Below are 15818 nucleotides of genomic sequence, written 5' to 3'. Positions count from 1 at the left end.
ACCATGGAAAAAGCCGGAAGCTGGACGAAGTGGTACATGCCTATAGTCCCAGCTGCTTGGGAGGCTGAGGTAGGAGGATCACTTGAGCCCAGGAACTTGAATCCAGCCTGAACAACATAGATTCTATCTTAAAAAGTTGTTTCGGCCGGGTGTAGGGGCTCACGCCTGTAATCCCAGCACTTTGGGAGGCTGAGGCGATCACAAGGTCAAGAGATCAAAACCATCCTGGCCTAAATGGTGAAACCCCGTCTCTACTAAGAATACAAAAATTAGCTGGGCGTGGTGGCGTGTGCCTGTAGTCCCAAGCTCCTCAGGAGGCTCAGGCAGGAGAGAATCGCTTGAACCTGGGAGGCGGAGGTTGCGGTGAGCCGAGATCGCACTATTGCACTCCAGTCTGGGCAACAGAGCCAGACTCCGTCTCAAAAGAAAAATTAAAAAACAGTTGTTTCTGGCCGGGTACGGTGGCTCACATCTGTAATCCCAGCACTTTGGTAGGCTGAGGCAGGAGGATTACGACGTCGGGAGTTCAAGACCAGCCTGGCCAACATGGTGAAACCCCGCCTCTACTAAAAATACAAAAACTAGCTGGGCATGGTGGTGCGTGCCTGTAGTCCCAGCTACTCGGGAGGCTGAGGCAGGAAAATTGCTTCAACCTGGGAGGTGGAGGTTGTGGTGAGCCAAGATCGCACCACTGCACTCCAGCCTCGGGAACAGAGCAGGACTCCATCTCAACAAATAAAAATAAACAAGGTTTTTAAATAACAAAATTATTTTAAAAGTTCATCCTTTTAGTAATGCAAGAAAGCCAGTTAATGTGATGCCATCATTTTAGGACGTAGCATTGGCAAAGACATATATGTCTGTCTGTCTTTTTTTGTCCTTTTTTTTTTTTTTTTTTTTTTTTTGAGAGACAGGGTCTCTCTGCTGCCCAGGCTAGAGCGCAATGGTGCCATCTCAACTCACTGCAGCATCTGCCTCCCAGGTCCAAGCAATAATTCTGCCTTAGCCTCCCGAGTACCTGGGATTACAGGCACCTACCACCAGGCCCGGCTAATTTTGTATTTTTAGTAGAGATGGGGTTTTTACCATGTTGGCCAGGCTGGTCTTGAACTCCTGACCTCAGGTGATCCATCTGCCTCAGCCTCCCAAAGTGCTGGGATTACAGGCGTGAGCCACCGCACTTGGCCTTTTTTTGGTTTTTTTTTTTTGGAGACAGAGTTTTGCTCTTGTCACCTAGGTTGGAGTGCAATGGCGCTATCACGGCTCACTGCAACTTCTGCCTCCCGGTTTCAAGCAATTCTCCTGCCTCAGCCTCCTAAGTAGCTAGGATTACACGCATGTGCCACCATGCCTGGCTAGTTTTATATTTTTTAGTGGAGACCACGTTTCACCATGTTGGCCAGGTTGGTCTTGAACTCCTGACCTCAGGTGATCCACCCACCTCGGCCTCCCAAAGTGCTGGGATTACAGGCATGAGCCACCATGCCCAGCAACAGGATCTCCTTTTGTCACCAAGGCTGGAGTGCAGTGGCATGATCACAGCTCACTGCAGCCTTGACCTCCCAGGCTCAGGTGATCCTCCCACCTCAGCCTCCAGAGTAGCTGGGACTACAGGTGTGCGCCACCATGCCCAGCTAATTTTTGTAATAAACCCTTCGATTTACATGAACAAAAATTTTTTTTTTGAGATGGAATTTTGCTCTTGTTGCCCAGGCTGGAGTGCAATGGCACGATCTTGGCTCACTGCAAACCTCTGCCTCACGGGTTCACACCATTCTCCCACCTCAGCCTCACGAGTAGCTGGGACTACAGGCATGTGCCACCACGCCCGGCTAATTTTTGTATTTTTAGTAGAGACGGGGTTCCACCACATTGGGCAGGCTGGTCTCAAACTCCTGACCTCAGGTGTTGCGCCTGCCTTGGCCTCCCAAAGTGCTGGGATTACAGGCGTGAGCCACTGCACCCGGCCTATGGTGAATAAATTTTCAACAAAGGTGGTGAGACATTGCATTGGGGGAAACGATAGTTTCTCAACAAGGGGTGCCAGGACAGGTGGATGTTCCTACACACAGAAAAGATGTTCACTCCATACGAAAAGTTAACCCAAATACGGACTGTATATCTAAATGTCAGCAAACATAAAATATAGCAGAAGATCACAGAAAAAATATGAGAGAGAATCTTTACAATATCCGGTTGGGCTAAGAGTTTGTTTTTGAGACAGGGTCTCTGTCACCCAGGCTGGAGTGCAGTGGTACAATCATAGCTGACTGCAGCCTCGACATCACGGGCTCAAGTGATCCGCCTACCTCAGCTCAGGAGTTCTTAGGATAGCAAAGGCATGCACCATGTGGAAAAAACTACTGCACTAGAATAAAAGGTTTTGCCCTTAAGAAGACATCATTAAGAAAATGAAAGACAAACCACATAAAATGTCTGCAAATCACCTATCTTTTTCTTTTGGAGACAGAGTTTTGCTCTTGTTGCCCAGGCTGGAGTGCAATGGGGCAATCTCAGCTCACTGCAGCCTCTGCTTTCTGGGATCAAGCGATTGTGTTGCTTCAGCCTCCCGAATAGCTGGGACTACAGGCGTGCACCACCACACCCGGCTAATTTTTGTATTTTTGGTAGAGACAGTTTTTTTGCTATGCTGGCCAGGCTGGTCTCAAACTCTTGGCCTCAGGTGATCCGCCTGCCTCGGCCTCCCAAAGTGCTGGGATTACAGGCGTGAGCCACTGCACCCAGCCTCATATATCTGATAAAGGACTGTATACAGGATATGTAAGTACTCATAGCTTAATCAGACAGCCCAATTAAAAATGAGCAAAAGATTTAAATAGGTTTCTGCCCAGGAAGACTCATTGGGGAAGTGCAGGTGCGACTCACAGTGTGACACGACACTGCTTCACACTTGTACAGCTGGGATCAAGCACAGCAGGTATTGCTGAGCCTGTGGCCACCTGGAGCAGCCCAGCGTTGCTAGGGGGTGCAAAGTGGCACACCTACATTGGAAAACATTTGGGGACTTCCACTCAGGAATCTACCCAAGAGAAATGAAAGCACATATTCATGAAAAGGCTTAATGCAACATTTATAATGGTTTATAATATTCGTAAATGTTTATGGCAGTATTATTCATAATGGACAAAAAAGAAACCAAATATTTGCCAACTGGAATGGTTACAAACAAAATGTATACCCACACAATCGAATCTTTTATTTATGTATTTATTTATTTATTTTGACAGAGTCTCGCTCTGTCGCCCCGGCTGGAGTGCAGTGGCGAGATCTCCACTCACTGCAAGTTCCGCCTCCCGGGTTCACGCCATTCTCCTGCCTCACCCTCCCGAGTAGCTGGGACTACACGCACCTGCAACCACGCCTGGCTAATTTTTTGTATTTTTAGTAGAGACGGGGTTTCACCGTGTTAGCCAGGACAATCTCGATCTCCTGACTTCGTGATCCGCCCGCCTCGGCCTCCCAAAGTGCTGGGATTACAGGCGTGAGCCACCGCGCCCGGCCCAACAGTTTTTTTTTAAAAGCACTTGGGTTATTGGAAAGTTGGGCAACATGATCACCTGCACAGGGGCTCTGAGTCTTTAACAGTGAAGCATTTCACACCTGATTAGGAAACGCTGTGCTGATGACATGGCACTGACAGTGTGACTCAGTTACAGAAACTCTCAAATATCCCTCCAACATTCAGAAATTTTCAAAAGACACCAAGCTCGGTATTTTGCATAGTTCTGTCCCCAAAAATGCCCTCCTGTGTTCATGTCTGTGTCTGAACAAAGCAGCTGTGCGTGTGTGTGTGCGTGTGGTCTCCACTTCTCTTGATCAGCCTGGGTTGCCTGGCAGTATGGGCCAAACAGACAGGGCCCTGTCTGCATGGAGCTCAAGAGTGATTAAAAGAGGCTGGGTGGCCGGACATGGTGGCTCACACCTGTAATCCTAGCACTTTGGGAGGCTGAGGCAGGAGGATCGCTTGAGCTCAGGGGTTCAAGACCAGCCTGAGCAACATAGTGAGACCCTGTCTGTACAAAAAATAAAAAATTAGCTGGACATGGTGTTGCACACCTGTAGTCCCAGCTACTCGGGAGGCTGAGGTGGAAGGACTGCTTGAGCCCAGGAGATAGAGGCAGCAGTAAGCTGAGATTGTACCACTGCACTCCAGCCTGGGCAAAAGAGCAAGACCCTGTCTTGAAGAAAAAAAAAAAAAAAAAAAAAGATTGGGCACCCCGGTGGTTCATGCCTGTAATCCCAGCGCTTTGGGAGGCTGAGGTGGGTGGATCACCTGAGGTCAGGAATTCGAGACCAGCTTGGCCAACATGGTGAAACCCTGTCGCTACTAAAAATACAAAAATTAGCTGGGCATGTTGGCTCACACTTGTAATCCTAACTACTCGGGAGGCTGAGGCAGGAGAATCGCTTGAACCTGAAAGGTGGAGGTTGCAGTGAGCCGAGATTGTGCCATTGTACTCAAGCCTGGGCGACACTGAGACTACGTCTCAAAAAAATAATCAATCAATAAATAAAAGAGGCGTCCACGTTAACGAGTCCACAGTCCTAACAAGTGCTGCAGGCTGGACGCGGGGCAGCGTCCCACCCAGTGTCTGGTGCAGGGCATTTAGGGGCTTGGCCTCCAGGAGAGGCGAGCCCGGGGCTGGGTGCGAGCACTGCTGCTGGGCCAGGCCACTCACGTTATGCGGCCGTTCCTGATACTTCAACACGGCCCTTGTGGGCGAATGTGTGGAATCTCGGAACAAGCGGAGTGGGGAACAGGGCTCTGCGGTGAAGCCCAGGCTGAGGCAGCCCCTCATCTGCTCACGGTGCCAGGAGCTCCCTGCCTCCTGGTCCTGAGGAGCCGCGGGATTCCTCAGGGACACTAGGGCCTCTGCAGCGGCGCCTGCGCCAGGCAGCCACGCGCGCTGCGCACGAATTCTGTCTCAGCCTGGAGAAAAACACCTCCGCTGCGCCCTCGCCCAGCACCAGCTTTCCGCGGGGCGTGCAAGGGGCTCCTCCTAGCCCCACAGCCCTGTCTTTCCACGGGGGACACCAAGGCCCTGGAACGGCCCGCGCGCCAGCGCTCTCGCCCGTGTTTAACGAGAACTTAATCCCCGTGCCCGTTACCTCCCCGAAGTCCCGGGACTAGGTGACTAGGCCCCGAAGCAAGAGTCGCAGTCGGACCGACTGGGCCGGGGAGGGCAGCGCACTGCACCTGCGCGGGCTTCCACAGCCCACGCGGCCGCCGCAGGCCTCGAGTGGGCGCGGGTTGGGCAGCGGCGAGAGGCGGGACCGGACCTCGCCTCCCGGGTGCGGGCGCCCTGGGCTCGCGTAGGGAAGTGCCCTGGCTTACAGAGGTGACCACTGACGGGGCTTGGGGTGGAAGGTGACGACGCCAGAACCCACGCGGAACGCGCCCACGAGGCCCAGCCGCAAGATGGCGACGGCGTGCCCCCGGCCACCCGCGCGCCGCGCATGCGCCCTGGCCTTCCCCGCCCGAGTGAGCGGAAGTCTCGTGACCCCGGAAGTGACAGGCAGGGCGGGCGGGGCGGCCGACGACGTTCGTCATTTAGTGCGGGAGGGATCCTGAACCGCGCGGCCGAACCCTCCGGTGAGTGGCCGTGGCGGGGCGGAGGCGGCGGGGCGGAGGCGGCGGGTCGGGGCGGGGACCGGCGGCGCCGGCGGGGGCGGGGGGCGCTGAGGTGGGGGCTTCCGCCTTTGTTCGCGCCCCGCCCTGAGCCCGCGGCAGGGTCTCGGCGGGCGGGGGCGCGGTGACAGCGGGCCAGGGCGGTGCGGGCTAGGGCGGGGCCGGGGCGGGACCGGGCGGCGGCGGCCCCGGCCCCACGTGCGGGTCCCGGGCCGGAGGGGCGGCGGGGACCAGGGGAGTGCCGGCCCCTCCCGAGCGGTCCGGAGCTTCTTTCATGGCCGCCGAGGCGCGTGGGGCCCGGGCCAGACCTGAGGGCCCCTCCTTGGGGACGCGGGGGGCGCCGGGCCGGCAGCCGCGGTCCATCGCGTTCGGGGGCGACGCGGGGATTGGGGCGCGGCCTCCCCCAGCGCCCGGGCCACGCCCGGCACGGATTGCGGGCCCTGCGGAAGTGCGGGCCGCGCCCTAGGATCCCGGCGCCTACGGCTATCCTCGCGCGGCGCGGAGGCCCCAGCCCCTGGAGGAAGCAGGGCGGCCTGGACCCCGGCCTGGGTGTCCCGGGTGTGCTGCTCCCTGACCCACCTCCCACGCTGCCGGGAAGGATCTGAGCCTGACAGATCCCCTGCCGGGTCAGTGCTGCCCCGGGCACTCCGGGCCCACCATCTACAAGAGGGCCCGAGAGTACTGAGTGGCTGTGGTAGCTCCCAAGTTGTAGGTCACAGACCCTCACAATTGTGGAGAAACCGCAGATACTTAGGATCCCCGTGTCCAGGTGGCCCCGTGCGGTATTCTAGCTGCCCCTAACATCCGAGCTCCAGGGGCATCCTGTTTGAAAGATGACGCTGAGCCGACCACACACGTTTACATGTGACTACCACGGCCAGAGGAGCAACCCTACTGAGGGATACCGAGCCCCGTTACCCCGTAGGGCGAGGGCCTGGGCAGCTCAAGAGCGGCAAGACCCTAAGAGAGGGTTTAGTGTGGGCCCCGCCGGTTGATTCTGGGGCCTGCTAGCCCCGCCCCACACATACAGGGGGCTGCTGCCTCCTCCATCGTGGAGGGGGAGGTGTGTCCTCTCTCCCCATGATCGGCTGCAGTTCCCATTTTGTCTTAGATGTTATACCTGGGGTGGGGGCACCTCACACTGCCCCAGAGGATGCCCCTGAGCAGGAATCGCGGGGGTGGAGAGGAGCGAAGGTGGCCCCCTTGGAGCCCTTTTGGAGCTCCGGCTGCAGCCCACACTCCTGCTCAGAAGTGCGCCTCCGTTGGGGATCCAGGTCCAAGGCCTGTCACCGTCCCGCCCACAGGTGTCCCGACCCAGGCTAAGCTTGAGCATGGCTGAGCAGGAGCCCACAGCCGAGCAGCTGGCCCAGATTGCAGCGGAGAACGAGGAGGATGAGCACTCGGTCAACTACAAGCCCCCGGCCCAGAAGAGCATCCAGGAGATCCAGGAGCTGGACAAGGACGACGAGAGCCTGCGAAAGTACAAGGAGGCCCTGCTGGGCCGCGTGGCCGTTTCCGCAGGTGAGTCTGGGCTGCGGGAGCCGGGTGGCCGCCCGTTCACTCCAGCTGTCTTGCCGCTCCCCAGCCCCTACTTCCACTGGTGGGGGTGGGGCCCTCACCTGCTGTCACTCCCCAGACCCCAACGTCCCCAACGTCGTGGTGACTGGCCTGACCCTGGTGTGCAGCTCGGCCCCGGGCCCCCTGGAGCTGGACCTGACGGGTGAGTGCCCTGCGGCCGCGGGGGTCCGGGCGGCCCCTGGTGGGGATCTCGGGAAGTGCAGCCAGGGGGCCGCGCAGGGCTGGGGCTTCGCGCAGGGCTGCTGGGCAGTCATTGAGGGGGAGGTCCCCCCAACAGGCGACCTGGAGAGCTTCAAGAAGCAGTCGTTTGTGCTGAAGGAGGGTGTGGAGTACCGGATAAAAATCTCTTTCCGGGTAAGCTACAGGCTGCTGTGGCCAGGGAATGGAGGCGGGGCTGGGGCTGGGGTCCGGACCGACCTTCCCTGATCCTCGCTTCGGGTCCTGCAGGTTAACCGAGAGATAGTGTCCGGCATGAAGTACATCCAGCATACGTACAGGAAAGGCGTCAAGAGTGAGTGGGGCCCCGGGCAGGGCAGAGGGGGCCGCTTGGGTGCGTGCTGCCAGGCGGGGAAGCGGGGCCGCTGACCGCCCTCTTCCTTGTGCCGCAGTTGACAAGACTGACTACATGGTAGGCAGCTATGGGCCCCGGGCCGAGGAGTACGAGTTCCTGACCCCCGTGGAGGAGGCACCCAAGGGTATGCTGGCCCGGGGCAGCTACAGCATCAAGTCCCGCTTCACAGACGACGACAAGACCGACCACCTGTCCTGGGAGTGGAATCTCACCATCAAGAAGGACTGGAAGGACTGAGCCCAGCCAGAGGCGGGCAGGGCAGACTGACGGACGGACGACGGACAGGCGGATGTGTCCCCCCCAGCCCCTCCCCTCCCCATACCAAAGTGCTGACAGGCCCTCCGTGCCCCTCCCACCCTGGTCCGCCTCCCTGGCCTGGCTCAACCGAGTGCCTCCGACCCCCCTCCTCAGCCCTCCCCCACCCACAGGCCCAGCCTCCTCGGTCTCCTGTCTCGTTGCTGCTTCTGCCTGTGCTGTGGGGGAGAGAGGCCGCAGCCAGGCCTCTGCTGCCCTTTCTGTGCCCCCCAGGTTCTATCTCCCCGTCACACCCGAGGCCTGGCTTCAGGAGGGAGCGGAGCAGCCATTCTCCAGGCCCCGTGGTTGCCCCTGGACGTGTGCGTCTGCTGCTCCGGGGTGGAGCTGGGGTGTGGGATGCACGGCCTCGTGGGGGCCGGGCCGTCCTCCAGCCCCGCTGCTCCCTGGCCAGCCCCCTTGTCGCTGTCGGTCCCGTCTAACCATGATGCCTTAACATGTGGAGTGTACCGTGGGGCCTCACTAGCCTCTAACTCCCTGTGTCTGCATGAGCATGTGGCCTCCCCGTCCCTTCCCCGGTGGCGAACCCAGTGACCCAGGGACACGTGGGGTGTGCTGCTGCTGCTCCCCAGCCCACCAGTGCCTGGCCAGCCTGCCCCCTTCCCTGGACAGGGCTGTGGAGATGGCTCCGGCGGCTTGGGGAAAGCCAAATTGCCAAAACTCAAGTCACCTCAGTACCATCCAGGAGGCTGGGTATTGTCCTGCCTCTGCCTTTTCTGTCTCAGCGGGCAGTGCCCAGAGCCCACACCCCCCCAAGAGCCCTCGATGGACAGCCTCACTCACCCCACCTGGGCCCAGCCAGGAGCCCCGCCTGGCCATCAGTATTTATTGCCTCCGTCCGTGCCGTCCCTGGGCCACTGGCCTGGCGCCTGTTCCCCCAGGCTCTCAGTGCCACCACCCCCGGCAGGCCTTCCCTGACCCAGCCAGGAACAAACAAGGGACCAAGTGCACACATTGCTGAGAGCCGTCTCCTGTGCCTCCCCCGCCCCATCCCCGGTCTTCGTGTTGTGTCTGCCAGGCTCAGGCAGAGGCGCCTGTCCCTGCTTCTTTTCTGACCGGGAAATAAATGCCCCTGAAGGAGCTGGGGGTGTCTGCTGCTTGGCTTCTCCAGGGTGTGGCAGGGGAGGGCCTGGCTCCTCTACTGCCTCACGGGCTTTAGGAGACAAAGGGGAAGATGGGGACCCTGGTGGGGTGGTGGGAGGGGAAGGGCAGGGCCCCCTTGAAGTGCTGTGGCTGCTGGGCCCCTTGCAACTATCTGGGGAGAAAGGAATGTGACTCCCAGCTACAGTAGCCCTAGGCAGCAACAGTCTAGAACAGTGCAGAAGGCCTTGGCTGGGGTTGCCCCTCCTTGCTAAGGGAATGGGAAGACGGGCCTGGCTTGTGTAGCTCATGCTGCCAGAGGGAGAGCTGCTTGATTCCCTGGCCGGGCTTGGAGGTGTCGAGTTGGCCCAGCTGTGCGCGGGCCCTCCAATGACTGGATCCCAAGGAAACCCAGGGAGGAACAGGCCCAAGCCAGGGTCGGCCTTGTGGCCCCTGGCGCACGTGGATGCAGCTGTGGCTGAGGCAGGAAGTAGGTGCCCAGGCAACGGGGGCCACGGAGGCGCCTAGAGCACCAGCCCTTCACAGCCACAGCCGCAGCCAAGTGCCCTCCAGGATCGGGCAGTGCCAGGAGCCCAACAGCGAAAAGGCTTGGTGTGATGGGATCGGCAGGAGACAGGGCATCCTCACTGCGGTGTGGTGTGAAGGGGCTACTGGGGGAACCACGCAGGGCCTCCTGGGGCAGGTGCGCTCAGCCAGGGGCCCCAACTGCTGCAGCATCCAGGAACCCCAGCTCGTCCGTGTCTGCAGTCTCCAAGAGCCCCCGGGAACTTCAAACCCATGCCCCTCTACCCTGCAGGGGGAAGAGGCAGATGAGTAACCAGGCACCCCTTAGAAGTGTCCATTCAGAAATTCTTTTTCTGGCCTGATGCGAGTTTCAAAATCTGCCTTCTGTGGTATAAGGTGTTGAGGAAAATACTTCACACACACACGCAGCTGGGCTGGGCAGCTGCTACCCCGGGGCCCTCCTACTGGTCATTCTGACACAGGCCATACTGCTCTGGGGTTTATCAGCAGGGTGGGCCCCGCAAGGGGCTTATCTCCAGCTGGGGTGGGCAGGGAGATGCCCTCATGCTTCAGGTCACTAACTACACACCTGTGCCAGGGCAGTGCGTGCGGGCACCACTGCCACCTTGCCCCATCCTTGCTAGGCCTTTGTGGGGGCCGCAGAGGCTGAGCCTAGAGCTGACCGTGTCAGACACCCCAACAGAATGGTGCCTTCCTGCAGAAGCTGGTCCAGACCCAGATCTGGAAGCAGCTATAGAGAAAGCCTGGGTCAGCCCCCAGCCCTTGATTCCGCAGGGAGCAAAGACCCTACCGAGCCTTTCCCAGAACTGCTACTAGCCCCAAGCGAGGTGGTCTCGTGTTGCGTTGCTGCTTCTGCCTGTGCTGTGGGGGAGAGAGGCGGTGGGGTGGTGAAACCACAGGATGGAGGCTAATCCCACTGGACAGACACCAGCACAGCCAGGGAGGATGAGCTCCGAGGCAGCAGCCCCTGCCAGACAGTTTCTCCCACGCTCCCAGTTCACTTCTTACATGCTCCAGGGGAGTCCCCAAGCCCAGTGCCAGGGTGTTGTCAGCAGTTCGGCTCATCGGGCAAGGGCCTTCTGAGCTTGGGCTGAGCCAAAGGGCTTCACCTTCTTGCTCCTGGATTTTCCCAGCTTTGCTAGACATGTGAACTCAGACCCAGGTGCCAAGCTGTACGGGCATGCTGCCAGCAGCCAGGACTTTGGGCTGGCCCCTCCCCTGGTGCAGGATAACATGAGGTGGCACCTGCACAGTGGGCATGACGTGTCTCTCGGGTCCCAAGTCTAACCTGATCCTCGTGGCCCCACCTGGGACCTGTTTGTATGGCCTGGCGCTCCAGAGAGGCCTCCTCGCCTCCAGCAGCCTGCGCCTGCAGTCTCCTCTCCCAACCTCCACAGGTCCGTGGCTCCCAGCAGTCCCCTAGCATCCACCTCCTCAGCCACCCCCAGGTGGACACTTCTTCCATTCAGGAGAGTGACAAGTCACAGTGCCAGCCAGTGCTAGGTCAGGGTCTGGGATGTGACCAACTAACCATGGGTTACTGTGGTTTCTGAGAACCTTCTCTGTGCCCAACACTGCCCTGCACCATAATGAGCGCCTGCCACACTCCGCAGGGCCCACACTCACCACCGCGCTGCTGCTGGATTTCTCACCTCCACTCCGGGCACAGCAGGCTGCTGCTCAGTGGGAACACAGGAGGGACCTCGGAGCACTGCCCAGGTATCCATGAGCCTGCTGTTGTTACCCCCACCACACCTTCGACCGGACTGAAGGTTGAAAGGGAGCTGTTTTGCTCTGAGAACTCTACTTTTAAGAGTAGTAGCTGGCCAGAAGCAGATCACTTGAGCTCAGCAGTTCAAAACCAGCCTGGGCAACACAGGAGACCCCATCTTTAAAAAAATAAAAATTAGGTGGGCATGGTGGTGCACAACTGTAGTCCCAGCTACTCAGGAGGCTGAAGCAGGAGGATCACTTGAGGCTACAAGGCAGAGGCTGCAGTGGGCCATGACTGCACCACTGTGCTCCAGCCTAGGTGACAGAGTGAGACCCTGTCTCAAAAGAGTAATATTGTACACACAGTACATTTCAAAAACTGCATCAATCAAAACATTTAATCACAAACCAGTTGGCTGGGCATGATGGCTCACGCCTGTAATCCCAGCACTTTGGGAGGCCGAGGCAGGAGGATCACGAGGTCAGGAGTTCGAGACCAGCCTGACAAACATGGTGAAACCCTGCCTCTACTAAAAATACAAAAATCATCCAGGGTTGGTGGTACACGCTTATAATCCCAGCTACTCAGGAGGCCAAGGCAGGAGAATCGCTTGAACCTGGGAGGCAGAGGTTGCAGGAGAATCGCTTGAACCTGGGAGGTGGAGGTTGCAGTGAGCCAAGATCACGCCACCACACTCCAGCCTGGGCAACAGAGGGAGACTCTGTCTCGAAAAAACAAAAAACAAACAAAAACCAACTAAGCAACATTTAATGGATCCCTTCACCAAGCCTGAGACTCCCTAAAGGATGTCTGGAGCACCTGTGATGATCCAAAGAAATACCAGCCACAGGAGGGCTCTGACCCCCAAGGGCACACTCCTCGAAGGGCCTGGGCATGAGGTGAACACAGCCCATCTTCTCACCCTAGGGTTAGAAGGCACAGGAGCAGGCCTCAGGAAAAGGACATCAGCCCTCTGCAGGTGCCCAGCGGAACCAGCCTGCATTCTTGGGGGCAGGACCCATGCCCTGCACATTTCCATCCACTCAACAACCCCCATAGAGGGCGTCTCAGGCCATCGCAGACCAGGCTTCCTCCTCCAGCCTTACCAGAAAGTCCACCTTTGCTGCACCTGTCAGGTTGGTGTAGGAAGCCAGTCCAAGGGCAGAGGCACCTTGAGAGGACCCTATGGGCAGCCATGGCATCTGTCTAAGATACTGTGATTCGGCTGGGCGTGCTGGCTCACATCTGTAACCCCAGTGCTTTGGGAAGCTGAAGAGGGGAGGATCCTTTGAGGTCAGGAGTTCAAGACCAGCCTGAGCAACATAGCAAGATCCTGTCTTTAAAGAAAAAAAATGCTGCCATCTATCTAGATTAGTGCTGGTTGGGCACCTGATTTTCACAGGAGAATGTCAGGTCGGCCACAGCCACCTGGGCTGCTGTTCTGTAGCCCTGCCCTCTGCTACCCTGGCTAGGCCTTCACCCACACTGAGGTGTGTTCCACTGGCCCAGAGCCAGCCTGAGACTCATCCACGGCCACTGGGATCCTTGCCTGGTCTGTGTGCCTTGAGTATTCACCACTTGGTCCCAGTTTTCATTGTCTGTGAACACTTTTCCTTTTTACTTTATGCTCTGGCCTAAGCTGCCGCCAAACCATCACAAGCTAATCAACATTATGGTATGTCAAATCTCTTCACTCTTCCCCCAACAGTGGACAAAACACAAGCTACAATATTTAGGCATCTGAACTCTGACCTCGTATCTAGATGTGGTACAAATATGGGCTGGGGTTTTATGTAAGATACAGGGTCTCTGTCACGCAGACAGAAGTGCAGTGGTATGATCATGGCTCACTGCAGCCTAGACCTCCTGGGCCCAAGCTATTCTCCTGCCTCACCCTCCAAAGTAGCTGAGATTATAGGCATGCAACACCATGCCCAGCTTGTCTCAGGCCCCAAACTGTGGTCTGTACAACAGCTCATGGCAACCACAAAAACGTTGGAAGATAGTGCAGTGACCTGAAGCAATTTCCATCATCCAGAGAGCAGAAGGAACAATGCCTGCAATCAAAACCATTTATGAAGAGATGGTGTTTCCTGAGTGGGCTCCAGGCCAGTGCTCAGGGAGGCACATACTCATATTCCTTCTTGGCCAGAAAAGTCACCCGGAGGAAGCAGACAGTTCTCCCAGCAGGTACAACTTATGCCGCTGACTGACCTTTGCTCCGCTGGCACTGGGGGGAAGGGAACAGGGGACCCAGTCTTGACCACAAGGAGCTCATATTCTAGTGGAGGGAGTTCCCTGTCGGAAGGAGAAGCATGTTCTCAGGAACAACTGATCAACAAACAGAAACTCTCAAAGTACAAAAGCAACTTACTCTACGTTTTACCATTTCAAAAGTCAGGATACTATTGCAGTCAATGTGTATACATTTAACATGGGAGTACCTCCCTTTTGCCTGCCAAGTTTCAACTTTAAAATCAGTGGCGGTGCCGATTCCCAGCGGAGGAAAGTGAGGAGGAATGGAGAGGGCAGGCACCTGGGGAAAAGGAGAGCAGCAGATTCCAGGCAGTGAGGGAGACGGAGGGCTGCCAGTGTCCAACACTAACAAAATGCAGACCATCTATGTAATTTTAAAAGTTTCTAAAAGCCACGTTAAAAGATAGAAGAGGAGGCCTGGTGCGGTGGCTCACGCCTATAATCCCAACGCTTTGGGAGGCCAAGGCGGGTGGATCACCTGACGTCAGGAGTTCGAGACCAGCCTGGCCAACATGGTAAAACCCTGTCTCTACTAAAAATACAAAAATTAGCTGGGCATGGTGGTGCATGCCTGTAATCCCAGCTACTCGGGAGGCTGAGGCAGGAGAATCGCTTGAATCCGGGAGGTGGAGTGAGCCGAGATCGCCCACTGCACTCCAGCTTGGATGACAAAGTGAGATTCTGTCTCAAAAAAATAAAAAATAAAAATTTTAAAAAAAGGACATTTTTTTACTATTTTTTGAGATAGGGTGTCGATCTGTCGCCCAGGCTGGAGTGCAGTGGTGGGATCATGGCTCACCGCAGCCTCAGCCTCCTGGGCTCAAATGATTCTCCCACCTCCACCTCCCAAGTAGCTGGGACCACAGGTGCACACCACCGTGCCTGGCTAATTTTTTTAATTTATTTTTTGTAGAGACGGGAGTCTCACTATGTTGCCCAGGCTGGTCTCGAACTCCTGGGCTGAAGGGATCCTCCTGCCTCGGTCTCCAAAAGTGGTGGGATTACAGGAGTGAGCCACACAGCACCTGGCCTCAATATTATTATGTAATCCAACATATGCATACAGAATATTTCAACATGTAGTAGTCAATGTAAAGTTATTAACGAAATACTGTACCTTCTGTCCTCCAGCCCCTACACGCACACTTTTTTTTTTTTTTTTTTGAGATGGAGTCTCGCTCTGTTGCCCAGGCTGGAGTGCAATGGCGCGATCTCGGCTCACTGCAACCTCTGCCTCCTGGGTTCAAGCGATTCTCTTGCCTCAGCCTCCCGAGTAGCTGGGATTACAGGCGCGCGCCACCAGGCCCTGTTAATTTTTGTATTTTTAGTAGAGACGGGAGGTGAGGGGGTTTCACCATGTTGATCAGGCTGGTCTCGAACTCCTGACCTCGTGATCCGCCCGCCTCGGCCTTCCAAAGTGCTGGGATTACAGGCGTGAGCCACCGCACTCGGCCCCGCACACTCAGTCTTAGAAGTTTGATGTGCATTGCGCACTCACAGCCCGTCTCAGGTGGACTGGCCATATTTCAAGTGCTCAGGAGCCTCGGTGGCGGGTCGAGTCGGGAGGCAAACCCAGCTGCTGCCTTCGGAGTGAAGCAGCGCCCAGGGTATTTCCACAGCTGTGTAACAGCTGCGAGGTCTCCTGAGCCGACCAGAGCATCTGAGAAGCACCAGAGAAGGGGCAGCGTCACAGGATTTGGCAACCCGTGGGAAAGGAAGGAAGAGATCGCACAGGGCAAAGGGCCGCTCCCTGAAGGCCTTAGCGGGGAGTACCTTTCCTGCGGCCGCTCCACGCATGAGCAGCGTCTTCCTGGGGCCTGGGAGCCGGCAGGTCCCCGGGGCCCAGGTCCCGCCCCTCCCGCCCGTCTCTCCAGCCCCATTCTCCTAACCACCCGCCCTGTGCTCGTATCCCCTCCGAGGCTTCCTCGCACTGTGCGCACGATTCCCATGCCCAGGCCCTGCCGCCATGCCTCGGTGAGTGTCTCGCGTGACCTCGCGGAGCGCGTCGGACCGGGCCGGCTATCCCACACCGAGCCCACCGCCGACCCTAGGCGGCCAACCCCACCTTCCACGGCCGCCGCCGCACGCTTGACACGCGCGCCGGAAATTGC

General features: G+C 57.4%; 1 protein-coding gene and 1 long non-coding RNA gene across 10 annotated transcripts, besides 17 other annotated features; one reads left to right on the top strand and one right to left on the bottom strand.

The window, feature by feature from the left end:
- Positions 4428–4527: an enhancer, noted in NCBI's record as "active region_12983". NCBI's record gives its function as "activates an Ori minimal core promoter by ATAC-STARR-seq in GM12878 lymphoblastoid cells {active_cell/tissue: GM12878}" and the evidence as "EXISTENCE:reporter gene assay evidence [ECO:0000049][PMID:35858748]".
- Positions 4978–5047: an enhancer, noted in NCBI's record as "active region_12982". NCBI's record gives its function as "activates an Ori minimal core promoter by ATAC-STARR-seq in GM12878 lymphoblastoid cells {active_cell/tissue: GM12878}" and the evidence as "EXISTENCE:reporter gene assay evidence [ECO:0000049][PMID:35858748]".
- Positions 5228–5637: a silencer, noted in NCBI's record as "silent region_9160". NCBI's record gives its function as "represses an Ori minimal core promoter by ATAC-STARR-seq in GM12878 lymphoblastoid cells {active_cell/tissue: GM12878}" and the evidence as "EXISTENCE:reporter gene assay evidence [ECO:0000049][PMID:35858748]".
- On the top strand, positions 5575–9191 carry ARHGDIA (Rho GDP dissociation inhibitor alpha). Of its 9 annotated transcripts, none has more exons than NM_001301242.2 (7): positions 5575–5614; positions 6955–7171; positions 7287–7370; positions 7506–7582; positions 7676–7739; positions 7837–7856; positions 7969–9191. In NM_001301242.2, exons 2-7 carry the CDS (start codon positions 6982–6984, stop codon positions 8545–8547), a joined length of 1014 nt encoding a protein of 337 aa, NP_001288171.1. In that variant the 5' UTR covers positions 5575–5614; positions 6955–6981; the 3' UTR covers positions 8548–9191. The 9 variants fall into 9 exon arrangements, 8 of the variants coding, with proteins under 8 accessions (NP_001288171.1, NP_001288169.1, NP_001172007.1 ...); NM_001301240.2 differs by having other exon boundaries at positions 7837–7923; positions 8328–9191; NM_001301241.2 differs by lacking the exon at positions 5575–5614 and adding an exon at positions 5915–6276 and having other exon boundaries at positions 7837–7923; positions 8328–9191.
- Positions 5838–6267: a silencer, noted in NCBI's record as "silent region_9159". NCBI's record gives its function as "represses an Ori minimal core promoter by ATAC-STARR-seq in GM12878 lymphoblastoid cells {active_cell/tissue: GM12878}" and the evidence as "EXISTENCE:reporter gene assay evidence [ECO:0000049][PMID:35858748]".
- Positions 6988–7167: an enhancer, noted in NCBI's record as "active region_12981". NCBI's record gives its function as "activates an Ori minimal core promoter by ATAC-STARR-seq in GM12878 lymphoblastoid cells {active_cell/tissue: GM12878}" and the evidence as "EXISTENCE:reporter gene assay evidence [ECO:0000049][PMID:35858748]".
- Positions 7298–7507: a silencer, noted in NCBI's record as "silent region_9158". NCBI's record gives its function as "represses an Ori minimal core promoter by ATAC-STARR-seq in GM12878 lymphoblastoid cells {active_cell/tissue: GM12878}" and the evidence as "EXISTENCE:reporter gene assay evidence [ECO:0000049][PMID:35858748]".
- Positions 7662–8290: an enhancer, noted in NCBI's record as "H3K27ac-H3K4me1 hESC enhancer chr17:79826498-79827126 (GRCh37/hg19 assembly coordinates)". NCBI's record gives its function as "activates a minimal SCP1, AML or CMV promoter by ChIP-STARR-seq in primed H9 embryonic stem cells {active_cell/tissue: H9 hESC(primed)}" and the evidence as "EXISTENCE:reporter gene assay evidence [ECO:0000049][PMID:30033119]".
- Positions 7798–7947: an enhancer, noted in NCBI's record as "active region_12980". NCBI's record gives its function as "activates an Ori minimal core promoter by ATAC-STARR-seq in GM12878 lymphoblastoid cells {active_cell/tissue: GM12878}" and the evidence as "EXISTENCE:reporter gene assay evidence [ECO:0000049][PMID:35858748]".
- Positions 8108–8157: a silencer, noted in NCBI's record as "silent region_9157". NCBI's record gives its function as "represses an Ori minimal core promoter by ATAC-STARR-seq in GM12878 lymphoblastoid cells {active_cell/tissue: GM12878}" and the evidence as "EXISTENCE:reporter gene assay evidence [ECO:0000049][PMID:35858748]".
- Positions 8291–8920: an enhancer, noted in NCBI's record as "H3K27ac-H3K4me1 hESC enhancer chr17:79825868-79826497 (GRCh37/hg19 assembly coordinates)". NCBI's record gives its function as "activates a minimal SCP1, AML or CMV promoter by ChIP-STARR-seq in naive and primed H9 embryonic stem cells {active_cell/tissue: H9 hESC(naive and primed)}" and the evidence as "EXISTENCE:reporter gene assay evidence [ECO:0000049][PMID:30033119]".
- Positions 8291–8957: a biological region, named in NCBI's record as "H3K27ac-H3K4me1 hESC enhancer GRCh37_chr17:79825868-79826497".
- Positions 8868–8957: a silencer, noted in NCBI's record as "silent region_9156". NCBI's record gives its function as "represses an Ori minimal core promoter by ATAC-STARR-seq in GM12878 lymphoblastoid cells {active_cell/tissue: GM12878}" and the evidence as "EXISTENCE:reporter gene assay evidence [ECO:0000049][PMID:35858748]".
- Positions 8921–9549: an enhancer, noted in NCBI's record as "H3K27ac-H3K4me1 hESC enhancer chr17:79825239-79825867 (GRCh37/hg19 assembly coordinates)". NCBI's record gives its function as "activates a minimal SCP1, AML or CMV promoter by ChIP-STARR-seq in naive H9 embryonic stem cells {active_cell/tissue: H9 hESC(naive)}" and the evidence as "EXISTENCE:reporter gene assay evidence [ECO:0000049][PMID:30033119]".
- On the bottom strand, positions 9156–15802 carry LOC124904086 (uncharacterized). The gene is made up of 2 exons (XR_007065950.1): positions 15773–15802; positions 9156–13749 (listed from the first exon to the last, which is right to left on the bottom strand). It is a non-coding gene; the product is annotated as an uncharacterized LOC124904086 (long non-coding RNA).
- Positions 9308–9367: a silencer, noted in NCBI's record as "silent region_9155". NCBI's record gives its function as "represses an Ori minimal core promoter by ATAC-STARR-seq in GM12878 lymphoblastoid cells {active_cell/tissue: GM12878}" and the evidence as "EXISTENCE:reporter gene assay evidence [ECO:0000049][PMID:35858748]".
- Positions 10180–10808: an enhancer, noted in NCBI's record as "H3K27ac-H3K4me1 hESC enhancer chr17:79823980-79824608 (GRCh37/hg19 assembly coordinates)". NCBI's record gives its function as "activates a minimal SCP1, AML or CMV promoter by ChIP-STARR-seq in naive H9 embryonic stem cells {active_cell/tissue: H9 hESC(naive)}" and the evidence as "EXISTENCE:reporter gene assay evidence [ECO:0000049][PMID:30033119]".
- Positions 11418–11467: an enhancer, noted in NCBI's record as "active region_12979". NCBI's record gives its function as "activates an Ori minimal core promoter by ATAC-STARR-seq in GM12878 lymphoblastoid cells {active_cell/tissue: GM12878}" and the evidence as "EXISTENCE:reporter gene assay evidence [ECO:0000049][PMID:35858748]".
- Positions 12385–12679: a silencer, noted in NCBI's record as "tiled region #9355; K562 Repressive non-DNase unmatched - State 14:Gen5'". NCBI's record gives its function as "represses a minimal TATA promoter and a strong SV40 promoter by Sharpr-MPRA in K562 cells {active_cell/tissue: K562}" and the evidence as "EXISTENCE:reporter gene assay evidence [ECO:0000049][PMID:27701403]".

Source organism: Homo sapiens, chromosome 17 (genome assembly GCF_000001405.40).
Source record: "Homo sapiens chromosome 17, GRCh38.p14 Primary Assembly".
NCBI classification, from domain to species: Eukaryota; Metazoa; Chordata; class Mammalia; order Primates; family Hominidae; genus Homo; species Homo sapiens.
The sequence above is the reverse complement of the archived record's forward strand: the minus strand, read 5'-3'. Positions and strand labels throughout refer to the sequence as shown.

Excerpts from the sequence above, each read along its gene's own strand:
- ARHGDIA (NM_001301242.2), top strand. The coding sequence starts at position 6,982 with ATGGCTGAGCAGGAGCCCACAGCCGAGCAGCTGGCCCAGATTGCAGCG. Across the intron at positions 7,371-7,505 it reads CCTGGAGCTGGACCTGACGG|GCGACCTGGAGAGCTTCAAG; the intron begins GTGAGTGCCCTG and ends TCCCCCCAACAG. Across the intron at positions 7,740-7,836 it reads GTACAGGAAAGGCGTCAAGA|TTGACAAGACTGACTACATG; the intron begins GTGAGTGGGGCC and ends CTTGTGCCGCAG.